Here is a 27898-nt window from a genome sequence, read left to right on the forward strand (position 1 = left end):
CCTCAGTTTCCTCCTTTATAAACTGAAGATAATGGCCCCCATCTCATGGGCTGTCCTCAGGACTAACTAAGTATACCCATGAAGCACCAGTAAGTGCTATGTGAACGTAACGGCTATAAAAGTTTGTCATTCAGCCCTCCCAGCAACCCCAGAAATAGGTATCTACATCCCCAGGTAAGGCTGGAAGAAGCCTGACCTGAGTTACTCTCCCAAAGATCAACAGGAGGTGGAATTCAAACACACCTCATGCTCCTTCTACTAGAGACCTGGGGAAAAAGAGGGAGGGAAGTGTGGAAAACAGGGAAGAAAAGAAAGGGAGAAGGACCTTTCCTTGTAGGGTGAGGGCAGACAGAGTGAGAAGGCAAAGAGACCAGAGAAGAGGAAAAAAAAAAAAAAAGGAATGGTAAGAGAAATCCCGAGGCCCACTTGACAAAGGCAGCCAAGGTGGAGGCTGGCTTGGGGGCTGTCTCCATCTGACATTAGGGGCCCCGCTAGCTGATGAGGCTGGCACTCGATGTTGCAGGCTGGCACCTTCTTGCTGTTCTGCCTACATGCCTGTCCCTCCCTCCACCCACACCTTTCCATGGCTCCATCCATCACCCTCCTGGTCTCATAAAGTACCGCTGAACTAGTGCCACAACACAGAGCAGGCGCTCATGTGGACCCTGCCATGGCGCCTCCACAACAAGCCTGCCAGTTATTTCCTAGCTCTGGAACCTACACCAGAGCTGGCAGGGCACCAGACCCCAAGTCCTCATCTCCAGGGGGACCCCAGGTTGACTGGGCAGCCCATGGAACAAATCAACCTTTGGCTTGAGAGCAGTGCAAATTTGCTATGGATGTCATTGAAAGAAATAAATATAGAAACCCCAGAATGGCTCTGGGCAACTGTTTTCCAAAGTCCAGCCACGCTCTGTTAGCAGATGTGGAGGCAGCCACAACTGCAAATGTTAATCCAATTGACATTTTGAGGGAGGGAGGAGAGAGGGAGGGAGGGAGGAGGAGAAGAGGCTTACTCGTCAGGAGAAATGGTTTCACCCATTTCTAAAAGATGGGAAGGAAGAGGGAATTAAAAATAGATTTGTTGCTGCCCTAACACTACAAGCCATGCACACGACATTGATCACAGAGAGAATAAGCACGGCAGAGGATCAGATGCACCAGTACCAGTGGGCTCATTTCTCACCAGCAAATATTGACTGCACAGTAAGAAACTACGCAAGCTCAAGACTGGAATATGGCTCCTCATGGGGCAGGAAACAAGTCAGTCAGCAAGCAAAACGCATGCCTCTCTGCTCACATCCATACATCTCTACGCAGGTTCAGACATAAAAATCTGCTAAGCCCCATTAATCTAAGATTCCCAGCATGTCCTGGACCATCATGGCTGATTTCTAATAAGCATTTGCAAAGGCCATGAATCCACTTAACAATTAGCCTCTTCCTACCGTCTGGGTCAGATCCTTCAATGGGTCTCACAGGAAGACAATGGAAGACCCATATGGAACTTAGAACAGCCTTGGCCTAGGAGGGGTGGACTCTCGTCTTCTCTAGGCAGCTCCCTGGACTCTAGGAGAGCAGTTCTCTTCCTCCCTCTACCCCCGTATTTCTTTTCTCCTAAGTGAAGAGGGTTTACAGTATCTTGAATAGACCTTAGAGAAAAGTATCTCCCTCATTACATCACTGATTTGTTTCTGAAAATAAAATGTTTTGTGCCAAAAGGCTACCACGGAACCAATCTCCTATTATTTTAAGTAGGACAAATTATAATTAAAATTATAAATTATAATTAAAAATTAAAATTTATTGTATGCTAAGCAAACTGCCCACTTCCCTTTCCAATCAATGTCCAAAATGGAAAAGAAAATACCATTAGATAGTTGTATGTAAATGACAACTTCTCTTGTTAGGATGCAAAATGCTTAAAACACTGCTTCCTGATCTCAAAACTATTCATGCAGCCATCAGCCAACAGGGGCTATGCATGCAGTAACACGGCCTTCCCCAATAACAGCAACATTTATTTTATTTTATTTTTTTGAGATGAAGTTTTGCTCTGTCACCCAGGCTGGAGTGCAACAGCACGATCTTGGCTCACTGCAACCTCCACCTCCCAGGTTCAAGTGTTTCTCCTGCCTCAGTCTCCTGAGTAGATGGGAGTACAGGCACCCGTCATCACAAATGGCTAATTTTTGTAGTTTTAGTAGAGATGGGGTTTCACCATGTTGGCCAGGCTGGTCATGAACTCCTGACCTCAGGTGATCTGCCTGCCTTGGCCTCCCAAAGTGGTGGAATTATAGGCGTGAGCCACCGCGCCCGGCCAATGGCACCATTTTAGACCCTCATTATCCTTCTGCTGATGCTTAAGGTTTTCAATATGTGTATATATCATTCTGACTTTCTACCAATTTTATCAGTTCTGTAACTCAATATTTATCACACACATCATTTTGCTAAAAGTACTGTATCAATTTTTACAATGTAAGTATAAATTCTCTGTATGTACACATCACTCCAAAAATATGACATATGTACTTTTTATGAAGTTTAGGTATTAAAGAAAAAAAGGCAGAGAACTACCATTCAAACCTGCAATCCCATTCCTGAGTATATACCCAAAAGAATAGACATCATTCTATTATAAAGACACATGCACACATATGTTCACTGCAGCACTATTCACAATAGCAAAGACATGGGACCAACCTAAATGTCCATCATCAGTAGACTGGATAAAGAAAATGTGGTGCATATACACCATGGAATACTACACAGCCATAAAAAAGAACAAAATCACCTCCTCTGCAGCAACCTCGATGGAGCTGGAGGCCACTATCCTAAGCAAATTGACACAAGAACAGAAAACCAAACACCACACGTTTTCACTTACAAGTGAGAGCTAAACTACGGTTCGCAAAGGCAGAAAGAGCAGTACAGTGGACACTGGAGACTCAGAAGCGGGAAAGCTGGGAGGGAGTGAGAGCCAAAAAACTACCCGCTGGGTACAATGTACACTACTTGGGTGACAGGTCCACTAAAATCTCAGACTTAACCACTACACAATTCATTTTTATAGCCAAAAACCATCTGTAACCTTAAAGCAACTGAAATGAAAAAAAAAAAAATTAAAAAGAGGGAGGGAGTGAGGGAGGGAAGGAAGGGAGATGTTAGGAAAGAGCTCTCATTGTGTTATATATAATTTACCAAATTAAAACAAACAAACAAGAGTCATTCTACTATGAAAACCTCAACCCATGGCTGGGGCGGTGGCTCACGCCTGTGATCCCAGCCTTCGGGAGGCCGAGGCGGGCGGATCACAAGGTCAGGAGTTGGAGACCAGCTTGGCCAACATGGTGAAACCCCGTCTCTACTAAAGATACAGAAGGTTGCCTGGGCATGGTGGCGCACGCCTGTGGTCCCAGCAGCTCAGGAGGCTGAGACAGGAGAATCACTTGAACCCCGGAGGCGGAAGTTGCAGTGAGCCAAGATTACACCATTGCACTCCAGCCTGGGCAACGGGGCGAGACTCTGTCTCTATTAAAAAAAGAAAAAAAAAAGAGAGAGAAAAAAGAAAAGAAAACCTCAACCCAGAAGCACGCTGTAGGGTGTGCCTGTGTGTCATGGTAGACTTTACATAAGTCTTAGGTTGCAGTGCAACCCAGGTGTAGCCAGTGACCATTTTACTCAGGGACCCACCCTGGAGGAAGGAGCAGTATCTGCTCACAGTATTTGAGGCCCAATACAGTCCTGAGGTGGCTCCCTCTGTCACCACTGTCTTGATCTAGTGAATTCTGGAATCAGTTTTTCCTGGTGACATTAGCAGCTTGTCAAATGACATGTTAGATGTTAGGAAAGAGCTCTCATTGGTAAGATAAAGTGCTACCAACAACGTGGACTGGCTACAGTAATATTAGAGATACTCCCCACCTTTTCATAACACAGAAGGAAAATCTAGAGAGGCTGACACCAACATTCTTAGCGATGCTGTCTAAGGGGTGATCCATAGCTATTCTGTTTCCAGCTGCTGCTTAGGAGAAATTCTGTTTGCCTAATGCCAACTATGAGGGTGACAGCAATGGTCCCTGTCACAGTGTCACACCTGCCTCTAGTGAACCTTTCTGTAAGAGAGTGGTCAGAGCATCTGAAAGGACAGAGGGCAGAGACATATCTCTACTGTTGGTTGAATCATTGTGCGCCTACTAATGAACGTTTGATCAATAAATGTCTCTTTGTGTGGCAGAATCTGGTGGAATATTTTTTTTTTCATCACAATATGTTAGTAAAGTTCTAGTTTGAGGTTCCACCATCTTCAACTTTTTGGCCACTACTATTACCTACAAATTCAGCTAAGAGTTGTCCATGACCAAATTGATTTAGGTAAATTCACATACACATACACATACATGGAGAGAGAAGGTGTGGAGAGACAGGAGGGGGAAGGGAGGGAGTAGGGAGAATGAAAAAAATAGGATCAGGTAGCCCCCTAGTCTCTTCCAACTATAAATGTTTGCATTGAACCTTATCTAAAAGATGACTAGTGGTCGTGTTTGCATGCCAGCACTGACTTTGGGGGCATGAGCAAGGATGAGATTAGAGAATGAACCTTTGGGCTTATCTTTACAAAGTAAAAGAAATAAATTAATTAAGTGCTTAGTGAGCATCTTTAGTGAATACTATATCCAGGCTGCATCCCCAATCCCAGTTATTTCAGTCTCCTAAAATTTTAATTTTGTATACTCTCTATTCAATTCAGCAAAAATCACCCTTGTCCCATAAAGCAATGATCAGATAGCTGCAGTAATTTTTTCTTTCTTTCTTTCTTTTTTTTTTTTTTGAGATGAGTCTCACTCTGTCTCCCAGGCTGGAGTGCAGCAGCAAGACCTCAGCTCACTGCAACCTCTGCCTCCCGGGTTCAAGTGATTCTTGTGCCTCAGCCTCCCGAGAAGCTAGGATTACAGGCGCACGCCACCATACCCTGCTAATTTTTCTATTTTTAGTAGAGACAGCGTTTCACCATGTTGACCAGGCTGGTCTCAAATTCCTGACCTCAAGTGATCCATCCACCTTGGCCTCCCAAAGTGCTGGGATACCCAGCCGTGATTTTCTTAACAAACAACTGCCACCTGATGCAGATGAAGGAAGGTACCACACATCCTAAGATTTTATTTTCAGATTTTTCCCTAATATTTTATTATGAAAAATTCCAAATACACAGTAAAGTTGAAAGAATTCTACAATGAACATATATATAGCTGCCCCTGTGATGTACCAAGACCCTCTTACCATATTTGCTTCTATCATATTTATCCTTCTATCCATCTATCAACACATCTTTGGTTTTTTAATGCATTTCAAAACAGTAAGATAGTCAGCAGCACATTACTTCCTAGGCATTTTAATATGTATATCATTAACCAGGATTCAATAATGTTTATGGGTTTTTTCCCCGCCTTCATGGTAAAAGTTACATATAATGAAATGCACAAATCACTGGGAAAATTTTGACAATGCATACTCCTATGTAACCCAAACACTTTTCAAGATGCAGAACGTTCTGGAGTGATGAGGAAGTTCCCTCAAGCTCCTTCTCTGACAATATCTGCATCCTCCCACCATAGGCAATCCCTTATTGATTAAGCTTTGTTATAGATTGGTTCTTCCTGTCCCCAAACTCGATCTATTAGGAATCCTGAAGTATATACTCTTTGGGTAAGCTTTCTCTCATAACATCAAGTTTCTGCAATTCATTCAAGTTGTTTCATGTATTGCTAATCTGTTTTTACTGACCGCTTGGTGAGTGGCATACCATGATATTAACGGAACACAAATTATTTATCTATTCTCTCAGTGATGAATACCTGGGCTGTTTTTGCAATAACAGTTTCATAGTCCAGCGATAACTACAACTGCAACTGAAGGGTCAGAGGGTAGATATCTATTCAGTATTTTTCTTTCTTTCTTTCTTTCTTTCTTTCTTTTTTTTTTTTTTTTTGAGACAGAGTCTCACTCTGTTGCCCAGGCTGGAGTGCAGTGGCGCAATCTCGGCTCAATGCAACCTCTGCCTCCTGGTTTCAAGGGATTCTCCTGCCTCAGCCTCCTGAGTAGCTAGGACTACAGGCACTTGCCACCACCGCCCAGCTAATTTTTTGTATTTTTAGTAGAGAAGGTTTCACTACGTGGGCCTGGCTGGTCTCGAGCTCCTGACCTCAATCAATCCGCCCGCCTTGGCCTCCCAAAGTGCTAGGATTACAGGCCTATCTATTCAGTTTTATAGGAAATCAGCAGACCTTTCTTTAAAGGGGATGAACCATTTATATTCCCACCAGTAATGTGTGAGAGATACAGCTGCAACACATTCTTACCAACATCTGATGTTGTTAGTTTTGTTTTATTTTAATTTTAGCCATGCTGGTGGGTTTGAAATGGCATCTCATTGTGGTCTTTCCTGCTTCCTGTGAGTTGCTTGAACATTTTTTAGAATTCCATTGTAATTTACCTATGGTGGTTTTTAATGCATCTCTTTGTATAGCTTTTTGAACAGTTGCTCTAGGTATTATATTACATATGCATAATTTATCAAAGTCAACTGGGGCTGACATTTTACCAGTTCGAGTGAACTGCAGCACACTTAACTCCCATTGTATCCCTTTATCCTCTCTCATTTACAATAGGATTGCCTTAAATATTTCCCTTACATACATCAAAAGCCACATTAGACATTTTCCAAACTCCTTTACATCTTGGACTCTGTTGTGAAACCCAGTTTCCACCAAGCAGACACACCTGCATGAGATGACAGAGGCAAAAATGAATGCCAGGAGGTAGAGGATGCCCTTGGGCCTGCTTCTGCTGCCGTTTTCTGGCAAGCATGAACAAGGGATGTTATTTTCTTTTTGAGGCAGCTGTCGTTAGAGCTCTGAGTCCAGTCCCAAACTTCTCAAGTATCAAAAAGTATGGTTCTCGTCCTGCTTATACAGATCTCAGCAGATACAGCAGGGTCCGTAAGGGAGCAGCCACCCCATGGCTTCTTAACCACAGTTTCCTTGGTGGTCTGGTTCAATATGGTTCTCACCTTTGTCTCTAGCCTCTTAGGATTCTTCAAGGCACTTAAGAATGGCAATACATTGGCAGGGCATAGTGGCTCATGCCTACAATCCCAGCACTTTGGGAGCCCAAGGCGGGCGGATCACGAGGTCAGGAGATTGAGACCATCCTGACCAACACTGCACTCCAGCCTGGCGACAAAGCTAGACTCTGTCCCAAAAAAAAAAAAAAAAAAAAAGGAAATACATCTCTTTCTGTTGAAGCTCATGCATCCTCTTGTCTGTAACTGAACTCTAATGGTTATAGTCCCACAGCTAATTATTGGCAGAGCTGGGATCAAAACTCAGATCTCTGTTCCTTCTTCTGCGGTGCGCTGCAGAGTCTTTCTCTCAACAATGTTCTTCAAAGAAGAAAGAGTTGAAAGTCCCACATTCTATTTTGAGAACACACACTGGGAATGAAATGTTTGTATTTCTCTGTCACATCCTTTTCACCCTACATGTGTGGTCATCCTTGCCTGGGTGAGTTAAACCGCTGCTCAGGAATGAGACACTGTGGGTGTTTCTTAGGCAGCACAAAGATGACAGCAATAAGCATATCTTTCTGCCATGCCTTGCTACTGGGGCTGGATTAATCAAGACATTTGTTTCTTAAAAGACTCAACTCACCGCAGTAAACAGAGAAGGATGTAATCTGCAGTGGCTTCTCACACTTTATTGCATGTGGACAAACCCTTACTTATTTTTTATTTTTTAAGATGGAGTCTCACTCACTCTGTCACCCAGGCTGGAGTGCAATGGTGCGATCTCTGCTCACTGCAACCTCTCTCTCCAAGGTTCAAGTGATTCTCTTGCCTCAGGCTGCCGAGTAGCTGAGAGTACAGGAGCACGCCACCACGCTCGGCTAATTTTTGTATTTTTTTGTAGAGATGGGATTTTGACATGTTGGCCAGGCTGGTCTTGAACTCCTAGCCTCAAGCGATCTGCCCGCCTTAGCCTCACTCAGTCACCCAGGCTGGAGTGCAGTGGTGTGATCTCTGCTCACTGCAACCTCTATCTGCAAGTTTCAAGCGATTCTCTTGCCTCAGCCCCCTGAGTAGCTGAGAGTACAGGGGCACACCACCACGCTCGGCTAATTTTTGTATTCTTTTTGCTTTTTGTAGAGATGGGATTTCACCATGTTGGCCAGGCTAGTCTTGAGCTCCTAGCCTCAAGCGATCTGCCCGCCTTAGCCTCCCAAAGGGATTATAAACGTGAGCCACTGCGCCCAGCCAACAAACCCTTAGCTTAGAACTCAAAGATCTGGATGGACATTTCAGCTCAGCTACATCCCAGGTAGGGCCATTTACTGAACCTTTACTGAACGTCCACTCATCCAGCCCAGCTGGCTTCCTTGCTGATCTTCCAACAAGACAAGCACACTCCTGCCACGGGAACTTCACACTTGCAATGTCCACTGGATGGAACGTGCATCCTCTCGATATTTGTGTGCTGTGCACCCTGACTTCACTCTAGTGTCTGTTCAAAAAGCTTTCCCTAACACCCTGCTCCCCTGACTTACTTTCTTCCCCGTAACACTTAAATGACTCAATCTTATATACCTATTTCTTCACTGATTATCCCCTGGTGACTGGCACATAGCACGAACTCCATAAATCTTTCAAGAGTGAACGAATGCCTGCCTGCAAGTTTGACAGAGACTCGGGGTCCTCCTCTGTAGGCTGACCTCCCAAAGCTGACCTTGAACAACCGATGTAAATATGAACTGAGACTGGTTATATGAAAACCCATGATGGTGAAAACATCTGCTCGGCAAGTAGAGAGCATTTTACAAGCTTTATTGTTTCTAAGAAAAACTATTTTTCACATTCTAACATCCCTGAAGTCGAGAAAGTTTGAGCAATCACTGGAGACCACACAGCAGGGGTAACACAGCTGTTTCCACTAGTGCCTTCACCTCTTCGCAGAATGGGTGTCACAGGCTTCAGTGAAAATCCCGGAGACAATGAAGGGAGTCATTCTTTTAACCGCTATGAACCAAATGGTTGTGGGAAGAGGCAGGAAGAAATGGAGAACCAGATGTGTTTAGCAACATTCCTAGAAGCAGAGCCAGGAGGAGGCCAGCTCCACAGAGCTGCAAAGTGGGTTAAGTGTCGTCTTCACAGGATTTTCATAAGAAATGCTCCATGCTCATGATGATGCAGAGGACGGCACGATGTAGACAGATGCAGGAGATGACACTGAGTTGAAAAACAGATTCTGAAGAGTGAGATTCCAAGCAAAGAAGCTTTTGCAATATCTGAACCAATATATTTGCCTATACTTTTCTTTATGTGTAGGCATAGCAATAAAATATGACAAAAACCCAAGTCTAAAATAGTTCTTTCAATAAGCATAAAAGAAAGATTCAAAGGGATAAAAAAAAATTGTGCCATGATTTAATTAAAAGATTTCTTGGCTTTATGTAAAACAATGCCATGTCTTACACTCAGCAGCATCTAAGGTTAGGTGAATTTGTTTGGAAAAAAATTGAAAAACAAGACTCCAAAGCACTCTTGATCCCAGTCACTTCTCTATTGGTTCATCCATTGATCTAATTTCTCTGTATTTAATTCCCATGTCTATTTTGTCTATTTTCAAGATTGATTTACATTGCAGGTTCCGATGCAACCACTGACTTACATTGCAGGTTCTAATGTAACCACTGTCCTTAACGAGTACATAGATTTGTTTCCTTCTCTCCAGGAGCATGAGATTTGTTGCCTCCAGGAAAGGCAACAAATCTACGTATTCCTTAAGGACAGTGGTTCTCAAAGGGTTGTCCTGGGAACAGCAGCATCACCTACACAGTAGTTAGAAATGCACATTCTGAGGCCTCCCAAGACCTGCTAACTCAGACACTTGGGGAGAAGAAGGGGTTCCAACAAGCCTTCTAGGTCATTCTGATGCATGCTGGAGTTTGAGAATCGATGCTCTAGGAAAAACACCCAGTACTATCTACCATCAACTTGACCACTCAAGTGTCACCATTCACTGAAGTTTAACTACAATGTCCAGAGAATTAATTGTGTACCAGGCACTATGCGGAAGGCTGAATGCTGCCTCACAATCCAAAGTGGTATGTGTGTAAATGACTAAATAAAATGCAAAATGGGATGACATGAGGGCTGGCGGGGGTGCCAGAACTATGCTCTGTTCAAGGAAATAGAGGATTGATTCTGATCCAAGAGTCCCGGTGGACTTCATCTCTGAATTTTATAGGTGAAGAAGCTGTTCAGAGCCCACTGTGGTGCTCTCTTATTGATGGAGAGGCACAGTCCCTCTCCCCCAAATGCTGGTGGCCTGGAGGCGGTGTCTGAGCTGGCCTTGAAGAGTGAGTAGGAAACCCATAAGTAGGCAGAGGTCTTGAAGGACATTCTGAGTAGAGGGAAAAACAGAAACAAAAGCAGGGAAGTGTGAAAGCAATTATTTTGTTCTGGGAAGAGTGGGTAGCAATCTGCAGTAGTTTAGGTACCTTTTAAGCTTGTAGGAAAGGTTGACAAGGCATGAGAGACCTGGAGGGACAGGAGGGTGTAGCCCGAGAGTGGATTTCCACATCCGTGGTCTGAGGTGAGCAGCTGGCAGTGAGGACAAAGACGTTGACAGCAGTGTTTCTCACCCTGTAAGAGGAACATGGATTTCCTGGGATCTTGTTAAAATGCGGGCTCTGATTCATAATCTTGGGATGGGCCTGCAGTTGTGTCTTCTTGAGCAGCTCCCAGGTGATGCTGATGCTTTTTGTACCTGGATCACACTCGGAGTGGTCACGGCCTGGAGGGGAACGCAGGTGCTACAGGGAGAGTACCTGAAGATGCTTGGAAATGATGCCTTTACATTGCTGTCAGGATACATGATTGGATGGGTCCATGATGGTGTTTTCAGAAGAACGGCAACAGATGGAAAGGAAAATGGGAATTGGAGGCCAAAAGTTTTCATAAAGCAAAGGTGGAATGTGGACTTCTGCAGATGAAAAGGAGGTTGCTGGAAACAGAACAGTGCATCCACTGCAATTAGTCTCGGCAGCGCGTGACAATAAATTCCTGATAACAGTGGCTTAAACCAAAGGGACTTTTATGTCTCTCTCACATCCAGAAAGTCAGGAGGTTGGTAGTGTAGGGTGGAACGTGATTTAACAGTGCCATTGACTTCCCTGGATCCCAACATTCTGCTTTACCATCCTCAGCTCTAGGTTGAGGCCCCTCAGTGTCCAATATCATGCTAGAGCATCAACATCCTTGTTGCAGGCTGGCAGCCAAAAGTAGTGGAAGAGAAGGCCAAAAACGGGGACACATCTCAACAGCAAAAGTGATTGTAAGTGGATTCCCTGAAGTTCCATGGCCATGCCCAACTGCCACAGGGGCAGGGAGACAGTCATTTATCTGGCTGCTTTGCTCTCCTGAATGTAAGCAGAAGTCTGTTCCTAAGCAGAAAAGGGACAATGGATATAGGGAAGCAACATGGCAGTCCTTGCTGCAAGTGGAATCCATGGTGACAGCTCAAAAGGGGAGGGCACAATGAAGTAATCAGATTCTTAGGGGATATTTGAGTGTCGGCCTCTTGTGCTCATGGGTGTCTGAATCTACTTGTGTCTTGCGATTTTGCTAGTTCATTAGTGTGAGTGTTCCTCTCCTCTGTCATAAAAACCTGTCCCAATCCTTCTCATCTGCAAGAGCCGGCTCCACTGCCATCTCCTCCAATAACTGTGGCTGCATTTCACAGAGTTGTTCCAAAAAGTCAAGGTAAAGCACTAGGAACAATGCTTGGCACATATTATGTGCTGGGAACATAATAACCGCTTAATAAATGCTAGATATGAATTACATGCACTAAGACCTTGCATGGGTGCAGACACATAGTAGGCATTCAATATGCATTTGCTGAATGTAATCTGCAGCTTCTGGACTGACCTCTGCGCCTTAATTTTTTCCTGGGGCTCATGTGTCCACCACACCTACCATTCTCCAAGGCCCAGCCAAAAGCCAGAATCTAGCCCCCAGTAGGGACATTATTTAGATAAAACAACATTTTTCCACAGCCATCCTAGTTTTCAGGGCCTTGCCGAGAAATAGAAAAGAAAAGCAATATAAATGTTAATAGGAAATTGTCTATTCACTTTTACTTAGGCTAATCTACAGCAGACCAACAAAGAGGGAATTAGACAGTCGAAGGGACAGGAAAACACGGGACCTTGACAAGCTGAAGCCCAATGGACTGCAGTTTCTAGGAGGAAATGTAATTCCAGGCCAACAAGGAAGGCTACGTGGAAATCAGGACAAAGGGCTTCTCCTTGGGATGCCTCTATGGTGTGAGATAAGGTTCCTGCTGTGGTCCCTGTTATCCTGGGCATCCATCAAATTACAGCAGCTCCTGTCCCCAAGGACTACAGAGGCAAGAAAAATAAACCTATAACTACAATACAGTGTGAGGTAAATGTTACTAGATGTGTAGGCTCAAGATATTAGATAAGCAAGGAAGAGGGGCAGATTGCCAGAACAATGGAGCAGGAGAAAGATTAGGTACAAAGTTGTCTTCTTGTAGAGCAGAAGACCCTGAGACGGGGTTCTAAAGGGTGACTAGGAGTTACCCTGGCAAAGAAGGCAGGAAAAGGTGTTCCAGGAAGTGCAAACACCAGGTACAAAGACTAGAGTGCATGAGTTCATGTCCTTTGCAGGGACATTGATGAAGCTGAAAACCATCAACCTCAACAAACTAACACAGGAAAAGAAAACCAAACATCGCATGTTCTCACTCATAAATGGGAGTTGAACAATGAGAACACATGGACACAAGGAGGGGAACATCACACACCAGGGCCTATCAGAGGGGTGGAGGAAAAGCGGAGGGAGAGCATTAAGACAAATACCTAATGCATGTGGGGCTTAAAACCCAGATGACAGGCTGACAGGTGCAGCAAACCACTGTGGCACATGTATACCTATGCAACAAACCTGCATGTTTAGGACATGTATCCCAGAGCCTAAAGTGAAAAAAAAAAAAAAAATAAAATAAAAAAAGACTAGAGAGACACATCATGATAGACTAAATAATGCCCCCCAAAGATTACCTCCTGATAATTCCTGAAATTTGTGAGTATCACGTTACATAACAAAAAAGGACTTTGTAGGTATGATTAAAGACCTAGAGGTGGAAGATGATCCCAGATTATCCTGCTGGGCCTGATATAATTACAAAGGTCCTTATAAGAGAGATGCAGGAAGAGTCGGCGTCGGAGGGAATGTTGGTGTGATAATGGAGGCAGAAAGTGGTGTGATTCATTTTGTGGATGGAGGATGGGACCACAAGCCAAGGGATGCAGGTGGCTGCTAGAAGCTGAAAAGGGCAAGGGGATGGGATTCTCCCTCAGAGCTTCCAGAAGAAAACAGCCCTGTGAACACCCTGACTTTAGTCCAGTGAGACTGATTTTGGACTTCTGACCTTCAGAACGATAAAAGAGTAAATCTGTATTATTTTAAGCCACTAAGTTTATGGTGATTTGATACAGTAGCAACAGAAAACTAACATATATGTGTTAAGGTGTGTCTTCCAGAATGTTAAGGAAGAACATCAGAAAAATGAATTAGAGGAGGCAGGCTCAGGCCAAGTCATGGGAGGATCTGTGCACCAGCCTGAGTTTAAGTTTTATCCTCAATGTGGAGCTTCCACTAAAGCGTCTTAGCAGAGGGATACTAAAGCGCTGAATTGTCATATTTCTAGATCTTAAATCTTAGGAATGACCACATGTCTAATTATCCATTTTATTGACTCATTTCTTTTATTATAGACTGTAATTACTGTATAAAACAAAGTAATGATGTATACTGTATAAAACAAAGGAATATGGAAGGCTATTTTATGCCTCCAAATCCCACTCTAATGTTCTTGAAGATGCATACATGTATCTGCAGGGCTGTGACCCAGTACAAGCACGGGTGTGCAGACAGGGGAACTTACTGGAAATTGGGGATTTCTCCCCAGAATCCTGGCCTGATGATTGCTGTATGGCTACAAAGACCTCGTTCAAATGTCCCACCCTGCCCCAACTCCAGGAACGGGACAGGCAACCCATGCTCACCGAGTGCTCTCTTAGGGCCAGAAGCTTTGTGAACATTCCATCATTGAGCTCTCCATGATCCTTCTGGGCAGTACCCTCATCTGCCGGGAGCCTCTCGCAACTGAGCCTGATTCCCTGAGCACTACTGTTGCAAGGCACGACACTCATCAGTGAGGCCTGGAAAAGATGATAATCCACCTACACATGGTCCCTACCTACCTCCGCCCAATCTCTGTCTACACACAGAAAAGCACTGAAGGGTAAAATTCCAGCCGGCCTCCTCCTTCTCACTTACTCCTGATACACCAACCTTTATGCACTCACACACCCCTTGTCAGGGCCCCCGCCAGCTATGTCCTTGGCCGAATGTTGCTTGCTGCCAAAGGAATCACTTAGGTGGCCTCTAAGCAGCCCCGGATCTGACAAGCTGGGTCTGCTCTAGCACTGCTGCTAGACCCCTGAGGCCACAGCCAGACACGCAGAGGCTCTAAAGCAGTGCTCTGCCTGTTGCCAGAGCAGAGGACCCACACTAAGGAGGACCCAGGCACAAGAAACCTGAGCTCAAATCCTCACTGAGACATTTCACGGCTGTAAAACCTTGGCCAAGTCACTGTCCTTCCATCAAAACAGTAGGGTGTGGCCATCACCAACACTTGCCACCATGGTGCACCCCATAAATTAGAAAGCTACACGTCTCATGCGTCTGACAGGTCCCACAGCCACAAAGGGCTCTGTGGTGGAAACACACACAATACAGCACAACACAACACACACCTGGCAACACTGGGCACTGCTGAAGCCTCAATTTTGAGCTGTTTTCAACAGCGTTGTCATGAACAGATTCTTGCAGAGTCTGTTCCACCCCCTTCCATCTTTTCTTTTAGAGTCTATATTTGGAGACAGTATTTCCCTGAAAATAAAAGCATTGAGTTGAAGGGTCTATCATGGAGTTAAAGGATACGCACAATTTATGGTTCTTGTGATGACCTGGCTCTCTCCAGGAAGAGCGATGTTGATCCCACCAGTAAGTCAGATAAGACAGCACTGCTCACGTCTCTACTTCATTCCAGCATGGAACTAAGCACTTCAGTTATTCTTTTCCAATACCACACAATGCTCAGCCCCATTTCACTGATGAGGAAAGTGAAGTTATGGAAAGCAAAGCGACTTGTCCAAGGCAATGCAGTTATTTTGAGACAGAGCTGGGAGAAGAATTTAAGTCCCTAGAATCTTCCAACTCCATTGTATCTGCTGAATTATTCAGGTCTTTGAGTTATCCCACACTATTTCCACAGCTTTCATTTATTACAGATAACCACAGGCCAGATTCTAGACTGGCTACTTTATTATATACACTACCGTGTTCATCCAAGTCAATAAGGCAATAAACATGATAATGTTTTCGATGATGATAATAGCACCTACCTACTACTGAATGTTTAATACGTGCAGGCATTGTGTAAGGCACTTGCATTACTTTAACTCTAAAAATCTATGAGTTACCATTAACATGCCCAGTTTATAGATGAAAGAATTGGAGCTCGGAAAAGAAACATCACCCAAGAGTCCCACAGATGATAAATGGAAAACACATCCATCAATAAATGGATTTGAACACAGGGCTGGCTCCTAACAGTTAACTGCCCCGGTGGGCGACAAGAAAGAAGGTTTCTAAAGATGACAGTGAGAAAAATCAGCATTCCATGTTGGTTTGTCTTCCCTGCAATGTGCTGGCTGTGTGTCGTTTGATCAGTGCTGAGTTTATTTCAACCCCATCAGACTGGCTGCATACAAATGCATGTCTTTCTCTTCTGGGAGCTGCTTCCCATTATAGCAAACATGGATCACACGGCTCAGCCCACACCCCCACACAAGCCTCCAGGGTACCGCCTCCAATGGCCAAGAGGGACCTCGTCAGGGCCTGAGAACAGAGGGAAAGCTCCCTCTCATGGCACCATCTGCACTGCAGAGGAGGAAACAGGAAGGGGGAGCTCCTAGAAAGCAGCAAGAGTATCCTGGTATAAGGGGTGAGCTTCAAGGCTAGGAAAGAAGCCACAGGTTCAAGTCCCAACTCGGCCCATAACTCAATGTGTTACCTGGGGTAAGTCAGTCTTGGTCACAGGACAACTAATAAAATTATTAAACAAGTAACTTGATGTAATTTCAGATTCTCCTTCTGGAAGGGGATGGAAGAGGTTCTAGTAAAAATCAACTAAATCGCTTTAAAGAAAGGAAATGATTCAGCAAATCCAGACAGAAGATACCTGGGCCTCAGATCATTTGCATAGCTAACCTACCTTCTTAGAAGTTCTTTTCGTCAAAAGACAGAGACACATAAATCCCTGTGAATTGGCCCTTTTCTGCCCTCAGGCAGGTACAATCTCAAATTCTTCCTAATCCATGACATCTCAGATCCTGAAACCACTGCAGAATGAAACAGCCCTATGGACACCCTGACTTTAGTCCAGTGAGACTGATTTTGGACTTCTGACCTCCAGAACTATAAAAAAGTAAATCTGTATTATTTTAAGCCACTAAGTGTATGGTGATTTGATATAGTAGCAACAGAAAACTAACATATATGTGTTAAGGTGTGTCTTCCAGAATGTCACCAGAAAGCAGCCTGAAAAAGCAACCATCACCCCATCATCCAGTAAGAATTCTGTCATCTTCAGTAGATCCAGAACTGGCACGCGAGACCAATTCTAGCTGAATAATATCATGGCTACTAAAGATGTGGGAGGGAATGGGGAAAACATGCTGGCTTCCCTCTCTCACTGCCCTGACACTAGATGCATCTGTCAGGTGAGAAAGGGAGAGCTCCCGGGGCCACACCTGCCCCCTGGCACAAGCAGGCCCATCATTTTACTGTGAGTCCATTAGTAAAATACAGGGAGTATCCAGGTGAATGGGAAAAACATTCAACCTCCCTATAACAAAATTTATAAAATCAATGTTAGCTTGCCAGGGATCCTCTTTGACTGTAACTTAGAAAGTCTCAAGGTGTTAACAGCTGGAAGTGGTTATTAGGTTCCTAAAATCCTATAGATGGGGTTTGTGGCTATATTTCTGATGCAAAACAACCAAGACTGTCCAAGCACACACGCATCATGCTCCCTCCTTTCTCCAACTGCTCTGGCTTTGCAGCCAATCTTACTCCCTGGTCTCAGTTCTTTGGAATCAAGGGAACTTTCTAAAATATCAAGCTGCTTTAGAAAAGTGTCAATTTGTAAATTCTCCATTTGGCCCTGTCTACCTGCAAAGATACAGATAAGTCCGGGGGAAGCAAAAGAAGAGGATTTTGTGTCTCTTTTTAGTTTCCAGATGGAGCTGCCTCCCACAGTCGACCCACACACCCAAGTGGCTGATGTCACTGTTATGATTTTAGTAGCACTGTGAGGGCCCTGGGGGCGAGAACCCCCATAAAAATCAACAATATCAAGCACATCTGAGAAAGCCAGAGAGAAACTAGGGAACCAGAGTGTGCTTAGCTCTGGAAGTGTCTGCAGAATTGCCAAGCAGAGACCCAGGATATGGACATCTGTGCACACACACAGGATGGAACGAGCCAGGGCCTTAGAGAGGATGACACTTGACCAGGCTGACGATGTCCAAGCTGCTGAGAAGGATCCAGTCCCAAATATCACCCAGAAGGACCCTTAGGGAAAATTCCCTTGGCCACTGTGTAGAATGTCAGGCTCAGGACTAAGAAAGCACCTATCCCAGAGGAGAAAAGAGTGTTTTCAACCAAGCTTGGCACTGTCGTGAGTCCAGCCTCCACGGACTGAATAGAAGTTAGGAGTTGCTGATATGGAGCTGCTATTGGAGGGAGGGAGGGAGGGAAAGAGAAAAGAAAAATCTAAGGGATATGACAGTGCACTGGGCACTGAGGCTGTCTATGGGGAAAAGACGCTCTGGAAGGGGGTTGTGGTGGCCAATGCGTAGACAGAGACCCTCATACCCAGCCCAGCCAGAAGCCCTCCTGAGTGCCCCTCGCCATAACACAGACATTACATGCCTGCCTGAGGCATTTCATACCTTCAGGTGATTGTCCTCATACTATGTTGCTAGGGCGGCCCTAACAGAATACCAGACTATGGGGCTGAAACAACAGGAACTCATTCTCTTAGAGTTCTGGAGGTTGGAAGTCTGATATCAAAGTGTTGGCAGGGTTTGTTTCTTCTTTTTTGTGTGTAGGAGACAGAGTCTCGCTCTGTCGCCCAGGCTGGAGTACAGTGGTGCTATCTCGGCTCACTGCAACCTCTGCCTCCCGCGTTCAAGCGATTCTCCTGCCGCAGCCTCCTGAGTAGGTGGGATTGCAGGCATGTGCTACCACACCAAGCTAATGTTTGTATTTTTAGTAAAGTCGGGGTTTCACGATGTCGGTCAGGCTGGTCTCGAACTCCTGACCTCGTGATCCGCCCGCCTTGGCCTCCCAAAGTGCTGGGATTACAGGCGCGAGCCATCACCCCCAGCCCAGAGTTAGTTTCTTCTGCGGCCTCTCCTTGGCCTGCAGCTGGCCATCTTCTGCTAGTGTCTTCATGGGGTCTTTCCTCTGTATCTGTGTCCTAATCTCTTCTTCTTATAGGGACACCAGTCGGATAGGACTAGGGCCTACCATAATGACCTCATTTTACTTTAATCACCTCTGTAAAGACCCCATCCCCAGTCACATTCCTGGGTATCAGGGGTTAAGGCTTCAACACAACTTCGGACATGGAGGGGCGCAATTCAGCCAATCACAGTCATTACCACTTTTATACCACTGAGCAAAATGAGACACACAGGAAGTAAGTGATTCTCAGAAGCCACCCCGCTCATCTGCAGCAGAGCCAGGTTTAAAATCCAGACCTCCAAGACCCTGAAAACACGATCCCACCACGCCACGAAGGTGCCTAGACCTGTGAGGTTGCTGGCGTCAGGCCCTGTTTTACAAATAAGAGAGCCAAAGCTGAGGAAGGTGAAGGAACTTACCAGAGGGTCATGGATCTAAAAAGAGTGGCACTGGGACTCATATCTAGGGTCTATCTAGCTTTACCCCTACTAGTCATTTGCATTGAATGCACGCCAAGACTGCACTTGGATTTAAACTCATCCTTGGTGAGGCAGTAGCGCGCTTCCTTCATAACTCATTCTCCTCTATTCAGGGTGGTCCAGGTGGCGTGGTTGTTTAGAGGTACCTACTCTCCATTTTAATTCTTTAATTCTTTTTTTTTTTTTTTGAGACGGAGTCTTGCTCTGTCACCCAGGCTGGAGTGCAGTGGCGCGATCTCAGCTCACTGCAAGCTCCACCTCCCGGGTTCACACCATTCTCCTGCCTCAGCCTCCCGAGTAGCTGGGATTACAGGCATGCGCCACCAAGCCCAGCTAATTTTTATATTTTTTGTACAGACGGGGGTTTTGCCATGTTAGCCAGGCTGGTCTCAAACTCCTGACCTCAGGTGATCTGCCCGCCTCGGCCTCTCAAAGTGCTGGGATTACAGGCGTGAGCCACCACGCTCAGCTGGCCAATGCTACTTTGATGTACTTTCCTCTCTCATCAGACCTTTGCTAGGCAGAAAAAAAAAAAAAAAAAAAAAGGAAAACTTCATCATCACCGTATAATTCCACTGTCCCTGTTGTCTATGTTCCCACTTGGAAAATGCTACTGCCGTTCAACAAATGTCTGTTTGAGTAGCTATACGAGCAAAGAACTACCCTGGGCACTTTCCAAAGAAGCAGAAGACAATAGCTCATGACAGCAAGGCAGTTACAAGCAATTCAAGGAGATTGAAAAAAAAAAACAAAACTTAAGAATGCAGAATAATGTAATACAAATTGTATTCGGTGTTAAGCCTTTGAGGAATAAGCAGTCTGGGGAAAGGTTTTAAAGACTAACGTCTTCTCAGAAGAGACTGAACCAGTGAATCAAAGAATCAAATTAAAAATGAAAACTGGAAGAATTGGCCCCAGAAAATGGCTAGGTCATGGTCTAATGCATGATCATGGTGATGAACCAGCCAGGGAGCTGAACAAGTTAGGAAGACAGTGGCAAGGAAGGCTCAGAAGCCATACTGTGTGTCAAGGGGAAAGGAACAACTCGTCCCTGGCTGGCTGAAGAAAGGAGAATGGAAATGACAGCAGCAGGTGCAGAGAGTTCCTGGGGGACCACAAAAGGTTCTTTTAATCAGAGGCATTTAGACTGGACACAATGGGCACAAGGCACTCATTTGATTTTTCTGAGCAGAGGAATAGAATGATGCAAATTCCTAAGGAATTCATAACATTCCAACAGCTCTGCTGTCATTTGAGTAGAATAAATCAAGATCACCACAATGGCAGGTACATCGATCCAAGTGTAACGGAGTCGTCCTACACATTAGAGAAGGAAATGGCAAAATTCTTTAAAACCAGGGGCACATTTCAATGGGAAGTCATTACTTTGAAAAAGGGGCATTAGAGTACACGATAAATGCTGTATGATGTTTTTTCTCAAAAGACCAGTTAAAACTTAGAAATTTCCAAAGCAACAAATGACACAGCTGCAGAAGACCTTTGGTAGTAAACTGTCCCAAATCTTTACGTAAGAAATCATTCGCTCATCATTTATTGTGCCCCTACTGTGTACGAGGCACTGTGCTGGATATAGATCCCAAGCAAGCAAGAGAGGGCCAAGTGTTATAGGAGCAGTTGTAGGGTGACAAACACCGAGCTCCAGCTTAATCCCACAGAGGTACAGCAGTTTCCCCAGGTGAACAAGGTGAAGCAAGGCAGGAGAGAGAAGAGCCCTGCTAAGGGAGCTATGCAAGAGCAAGGGGTGGCCACCAGGCTCCCATGTTTTGTAACCTGCTGGAGCGAAGCGTCCAGGGGGTCTGCAGCAGGATAGGAGACAGGGAAGAACTGAGATCCGAAGGTTAGAATGGATTGGTCTCTTTCAAGGGTTCTAACCCCTGTGTTAAAATCCTCTGCTATACTACGCCTCAATTTAGAATTCTTCACACTTTCGTTCAAATGTGTCCTAAAATATTGAATAGACCATGGGTCTGAAGGATACCCTGGAAACCAGGAATGAGGCCGACCTCCTTACTGGAGAGAAGTTAGGTGAGCTGCCCACAGCTGACCGATACATAGGATGCTGTACAGGAAAACTGCCTGCTACCTATGGCCAAATGATATGAGCAGAAACACCTCTGAGACCAGACTAAAAGGAAAGAGCACAGAGAAGGGAAAAGGTAAGAATATGAGTTTGTTTGTGTTTGTTTTAGAGTTGGGGTCTCACTTTATCACCCAGGCTGGAGTGCAATGGTGTGATCATAGCTCACTGCAGCCTCAAACTTCTGGACTCCAGCAGTCCTCCTTCCTCAGCCTCTCAGGTAGCTGAGACTACAAGTGAGCACCACTATGCTTGGCTAATTTTTATTTTTATTGTTTTATTTTTTTTGCAGAGACAGGGTCTTGCTATGTTGCGTAGGTCACTCTTGAACTCCCGGCCTCAAGTAGTCCTCTTGCATCAGCCTCCCAAAGTGTTGGGACTGTAGGCGTGAGCCACCGTGCCTGACCTAGAAATACGGGTTTTAAACAGACATTATCTTCTCCAGATTTCAGAAAATAAAGGTAAGAGCTAACGTGTGCTGCATATTGAGTGGTGTGCCATTTTATAAAGGCAGAAGTCCAGAAAAGTGGAGTAACTTGTCCCAACCAAACCACCCAACAAGTAGAGCTAATGCCAAGATTCAACCCCAGGAAGTTTGAGTCTGGAGAGCATTAACCACTACCACTATCCCATTTGGCACAACCCTGGAACCCTGGGGATGGGGGAAAAAAAAAGGGCAAATCCTACCCGGACAGGGAAGCTGGAGCCTGGATTGCAGGCCTAACACTGGAAATGAATGGCCTTGAGCTAGTAAAGATGCCAGCCTCAGTGGGAGAAATGGCCCTGCACTGAGCATCTAAACAGCCTTCAGGCAGGCACGAGAAGACGGATCACAGGCTCGAAGGCTTCTAGAGGAGACCAGCACAAGAGGGGCATGTTCACTGAGGCCATGAACCCACTGGCTATGAGGTGGGTCCAGCCATGGGGTAACTAGGTGAGTCACACAGTCCACTCCATCATCAATGGAAATTCATCAGGAAACCCCTCCTTGACTCTGAGTGGTCAAGAGACGAAAGAAATGGGTAGAGAAGTGGAGGAAACAAACAGTAATTAGAGTCACAGAAATTGAGGGGTGAGGGGTACAGTGTGTGTGTGTGTGTGTGTGTGTGTGTGTGTGTGTGTGTGTGTGTGTCTGCATGTGGGTAGCATGAAAAGCTGAGGCCAGCAAGAAAAGCCACTAACCTACTAGTCTCTAAAAAAGAAAGCAGAGGCAACAACACAGGGAAGAAAGCTTGACCCCCAGCATTCTTCAACAGCCTCAACCAGAGTGAAATTTAAATTATGTTTCCATGGTGCGGACTCTGTGCCTTAGGAATTTGCTCTGCATAATCTTTGTACTCACAGAAGGTATATGGTAAGTATTTGTCAACGGTGAGGACGACAGCTACACTTTTAAAGGTACCTAAATTGCCTACCCTGTGGCTAATCTGTTGTGTGTTTGTTCTGAAAAATTGCCCCTTTATGGGACCTCTCCATCTTGAGAGCAAAATCCCATCACTGAAGGGCTGAGATGTGCTAAGAAGCAGCTCAGTGCTTCATTTCATATCTATTTTCTTATAATTAATCAGTTTTATTTTAAAAAGAGTAGGGGGATAGATATATCTACAGATGAGGGAAAATAGATTCAGCTTAGAGAAGGATTATGCATAATAGTCCCAGAAGGTTTGGCTGTTCAGATGATCATTAAAGGAATGGATAGAGTTGGTTTCAAAAAAAAGTCCCAGCTCCCCCAGGATCAGATAAAGAAAAATGAGAGGGCTGTTTCCACTCCCTTCTGGAACCACATTAAAATGTATCCCTAAACAGCCTTTCGCTAGGAATCCCCCCTGCTATTCCACTAGTACATAAATGCAGAGAACCACATCTGGCTACTGGGAAGCACATCAATCACAGCTCAGGATTCATTCATTCCGCGGTCGCTGGTGGTTTATTTGAAACACACAAGCCAGCACACACAGCTGGACACAGCAAACCAGGTTGGCACTCTTAATTACCTAATTGGTGGTTCTGTTGTAGGCTCTTTTTTTTTTCAGGTTAAACTTTCTTAATGCATAAATGATCGATCCATGTATTTGTTTACTCTTCTTCCTTGATATTCAGCATTTTAAAATGAGTGCCCAGGGCTGGGCACAGTGGCTTCCATGTGTAATCACAGCACCTTGGGTGTCCAAGGTGAGAGGATCACTTGACCCCAGGAGTTCAAGACCAGCGTGGGCAACATGGCGAGACACCGTGCCTACAAAAAATTTAATATTAGCCAGCTATGGTGGCATGTGCCTGTGTTCCCAGCTATTTAGGAGGCTGAGGTGAGAGGATTACTTGAGTTTGGGAGGTTGAGGCTGCAGTGAGCCAGGATGGTGCTGCTGCACTCCAGCCTGGGTGACAGCAAGACCCTGTCTCAAAGAAAAAGTAAATAACGTAACATAACGTAACATAACATAACATAACATAACATAACATAACATAACATAACATAACATAAAACAAAATGAGTACCCAGTGGTCAATAATGAAAGCAGAATCATCCTGGAAACTGGTCCATGCAGACTGACTCCTGCCCTCCTACCAAGTTGGCTACTACAGCTGAAGTGCCCACTCTCCTACCACTGTGGTGACCAGCAGGCCAGAAATGTTGCCCCTCTTCCATCACACACATGATCATGTAATTCCAAAGAAATGAGAAAAGCTGGTCTTGGCCTGGAAAAATGAGGAGCCCCTCGTTCAGAGAACAGCCTCACATTCAAGAGCATGGCAATAAAAAACTCCAGCTCTAGAGGCAGATAAGGCTGGTTCAACCCTCGGCTTCTCTGGCTGTGTACCATGGAGACGTTCCTTACCCTCACTAAGCCTGAGGCCTCATCTGTAAACTGGGGGACATAATTACACTCACTTAGTAGAATTAGATGACCAAAGTCAAAAATGAGATAAAAGACAACACATAATCTGTTGGGGACAATGACAAATAATAACTGCTTTAATCATATAAATGCCAAATTAAGAACTGTAATATAAATTTACCTTGATAACAAATCAATTGAAGGAAGGAAAAACAAAAGAAATTGGCAGGATAATCTTCACTGCTCAGGTAAAACTGACTGTGGCATGGTCCTATGTTGCTACTCAACTTGTTCTCACTCAGGCCTGTGGCCTCCCTTGGCCCAACTGGCCTCAGGTACTTGCGTGAAAGAACAGCAACCACACGCAGGTCTCTGACCCATTCAAACCCCACTCTGCTCCATGTACCCTAAATTCCAATCTACGCCATCTCAGGTTATGGAAAGATGGCAGGTGATTACCTCGTGTGTAATGAACATAGGACACATTCCTCACCCGCTTCAGATTGTCCTCTGAAATTCAAAGGCAGTCCCCTCTCATATCCTTTGGAGGCATGCTGCCAGAAGGACTTGTTGGCAAGAGGTGGAAAGAAATCAGGAAGGAGAAGAGACTATTTAAGAAGCAGGACTATCTGAACTCCATGCTCAATTGATGGAGGCTTCACTTCCACCATCTTTGGGCTCCTACCTTTGCATGAGAAGCTTGGGCTAGAAAGAATCAGAATTAGGGTCGTTCCTTCAAAATCTTCACTTTACACAATCAAAAATGGATGTCCAGAGAAAATTAAGTAGTTGTATGAGATCACCCAGTTAAGTTACTGGCTAGGTCAGGCCTACAACCCAGAGTTACCTGCCTATCACCACAGGCGTTTCTCATGTCTTAACATCACTCATGAATCTCTTTTGACCACCAATAGGGTGGTCTTTTTCCAAGCTCACTGAGTCCTCCCATACTTCTTAGAGGTACAACAGATCCATGTCGTCCTGCTTCTTTGAATTAATGTTCCTAAGGGCAGGCTGGTAACTGGATACTGGGTAACGCCTGGGTGACTTTCTCAAAGTGGTCTTCCTAGCTGGCTGCACTCTCATCCCCCCACTGCATATGCAGCTATCCTTTTAAACTGCAAAACAAACATTCTTCCATAGCCCCATCCCCTAGTACTGTCTACAGCAGTGGCTCCTAAACTTTATCCAGCATCAGGGTCCTCTGGAGGGCTGGGTTAAATGTAGGATCGCCAGGCCCTAACCCCCAGAGCATCTGCCTCTGAAATAGAGTCCAAGCATTTGTATTTCAAACAAGTTCCCAGTTCAGAAATTCTCTTCCCCTAGCTCCCCAAACAACACATGGCAAGGACTGGAAAGCAGATGAGCCCCCAGTTGCAACTGCAGTGGCATCGCACAGGCTAGGCTAAAGTTGTCACGCTCACAGGATCACAGACATCATTGAGCAAAGGGCCTCCATGGAAACGCGGCAGATCCCAGCTGACAACGGCTTTCCTTTCACTGTTCTGAAACCAGCACTAAGAAATTTCTCTAAAGAGTTACAAACCATCCACAAGTTTATTTAATTTTGAGTTAATTCCCCATTACTAACTACTAATTCCGAATTCATGTTTCCCTCCCAATACATTGTCCCAGTTCCTTGCACAATGTACACTCCAATTTCCATCTCACCCCATATACTTAAGTATGATCAACACAGGTCACAGGTACCTCTTACTTTGGGAAACAGTGATAAGCCTTCAAATCTGTTCCCATAAAATGACTCCTATATCCTCAGGTTGATGAATTTAGGAAATTAAAATACAGGATGGCCGTTAGATTTGAATTTATGATAATAAATTTTTTGCATAAACATATGCCCTGCAATATTTAGGATATATTTATACTAAAAAAATTGGCCATTGTTTATGTGAAATTCCAATTTAACAGAGGGAATTACATTTTCATATGGCAACTCTACTTCATCTGTGCATTTGTTCAGAAATTTTTTTGTTTGCTTTTGTTTTCTTTGTTGTTGTTGCTGTTGTTTTGAAACAGAATCTCAGTCTGTCACCCAAGCTCAAAAACAGTGGTGTGATCACAGCTCACTGCAGCCTTGACCTCCCAGGCTCAAGCAATCCTTCTACCTCCTGAGTAGCTGGGACCACAGGCAAGTACCACCACACCCAGCTAACTTACATTATTTTTTGTAGAGACAGGTTTTCACCATGTTGCCCAGGCTGGTCTCGAACTCCTGCATTCAAGAGCAATCCACCTGCCTCGGCCTCCCCAAGCGCTGGGATTACAGGCATGAGCCACCACACCTGGCCACCCCCAAAATATTTACTGAGCCTCTATTATGTGTCACTTGCTGTAAATACAAGACATGGAGCCAGAGTGTGTTAGTAAATGTTTAACAACCGGTTCCTAGGAAGTGGATAAATTTTACTGTTGGCTCATAGTTGAAGACCCTGCAGCCATCCTGCAAATATGAGAAGGCGAAAAGACCTGCAGAGATGCCCATTCAGAGCACAGACATTATGGAACCACAAAACCAGTGTCAACAACCAAGATCTCGTTACATATCAAATGAATGAGTTCTTACTTGTTTAAACCATTAAACAACTTAATTGTTTTTTGTTGTTATTGGAAATGACAAATGATTCCCAACTGATACCCAAAGGATACCCCTCTTCACTGTATATGTTGTACTCTCCCTCTCCAAATACATCAACACCTATTTCTGCATGGTACATGTTGGTGGGTCTCTTCTTTCCTCCCTCCATCTCCTTCATTTATTCACTCATTCATCCACCCACTCACTTACCTTCCTACCCATTCATCCACCCATCTACCCCCACAGTGCACCATGTATTTATTGATTCATTTTCTTGCAATATCCAACGAAACCAGGCTCTAGAACTATTGGGAGGCATACCAGTGAGTGCTTCTGACTGATTCTGAGCCAATCACCAACATTTTCCATCAGGGGCCTCTTTTGGAGGAGTATTTTGTGAATCTGCTCTCAGCTGCTACCACAGAATGAGAGCTTTTTCTTTTCTTTTCCAGTATTGATACATTCCTGGACTCTCTGTTGACCCAGTTCTTCTCCTCATCTACTCAGTATTTCCTTGGGGTCAGATTATAATCTTGGAGAAATCCAGAAAGCCACAGAGGAGCCCGTAAAGATCAATAAATCCACTTGAGAACACTCAAATCCCCACAGTGGAATCGAGGGCTTGAAGCCACAAGTTATCTGAGAAGGCTCTTGACCCAACAGATGCTTCTTTTGTGAACAATCCCAAGCACTAACGAATGTACTCAAGAAACCAACTAGCACTATTTCTGTGATGTGACAAATGAAAAAAGAAACAAGGAATGAAGGATGAAAACTAATAAAATCATACAGAAAACCACTTAACTAACCATCCTGAAATCTCATTTCAAATGCATTCTGCCAAAGTCGCTTTGTCCCCATGAGCCAGAGTGTCCACTCCTACTCCAGGCCTCTGTGCCAGGCCTGCCCAGACCAGTCACCACTCATGTCACCCCTGAGCAATCCCTTTATTTGGCATCACTCTGTTTTCATTCCTCCCATCTCGGCTCTAAAAGTTCCCTTTCTAATCTCCAGGTTCCTGCCATACTTTGTGAGATACGCCATTTGAAGATAGGCTCAATCACAATATTGCAGTAGAGACAACCTTTCCATGTGGTTGCAGAAAATTCTGAACACTATCTAGGCTTTCTCTTCAAGCACACCAAATATGCCGTTATTTACTGTCACCTGAGGTTCCCTTATTAGCACACAGACTATGTC

At 44.7% G+C, this 27898-nt stretch overlaps 1 protein-coding gene and 1 non-coding gene across 23 annotated transcripts in view; both read right to left on the reverse strand.

Moving 5' to 3' along the window:
- The window catches only part of LARGE1 (LARGE xylosyl- and glucuronyltransferase 1), an 856162-nt gene that overhangs the window by 623626 nt on the left and 204638 nt on the right, over positions 1 to 27898 (reverse strand). The gene's annotated exons all lie outside the window — the stretch shown is intronic.
- Positions 14498 to 14632, reverse strand: SNORA50B (small nucleolar RNA, H/ACA box 50B). The gene has a single exon (NR_145833.1). It is a non-coding gene; the product is annotated as a small nucleolar RNA, H/ACA box 50B (small nucleolar RNA).

This window comes from Homo sapiens, chromosome 22 (assembly GCF_000001405.40).
Source record: "Homo sapiens chromosome 22, GRCh38.p14 Primary Assembly".
Lineage (NCBI taxonomy): Eukaryota > Metazoa > Chordata > Mammalia > Primates > Hominidae > Homo > Homo sapiens.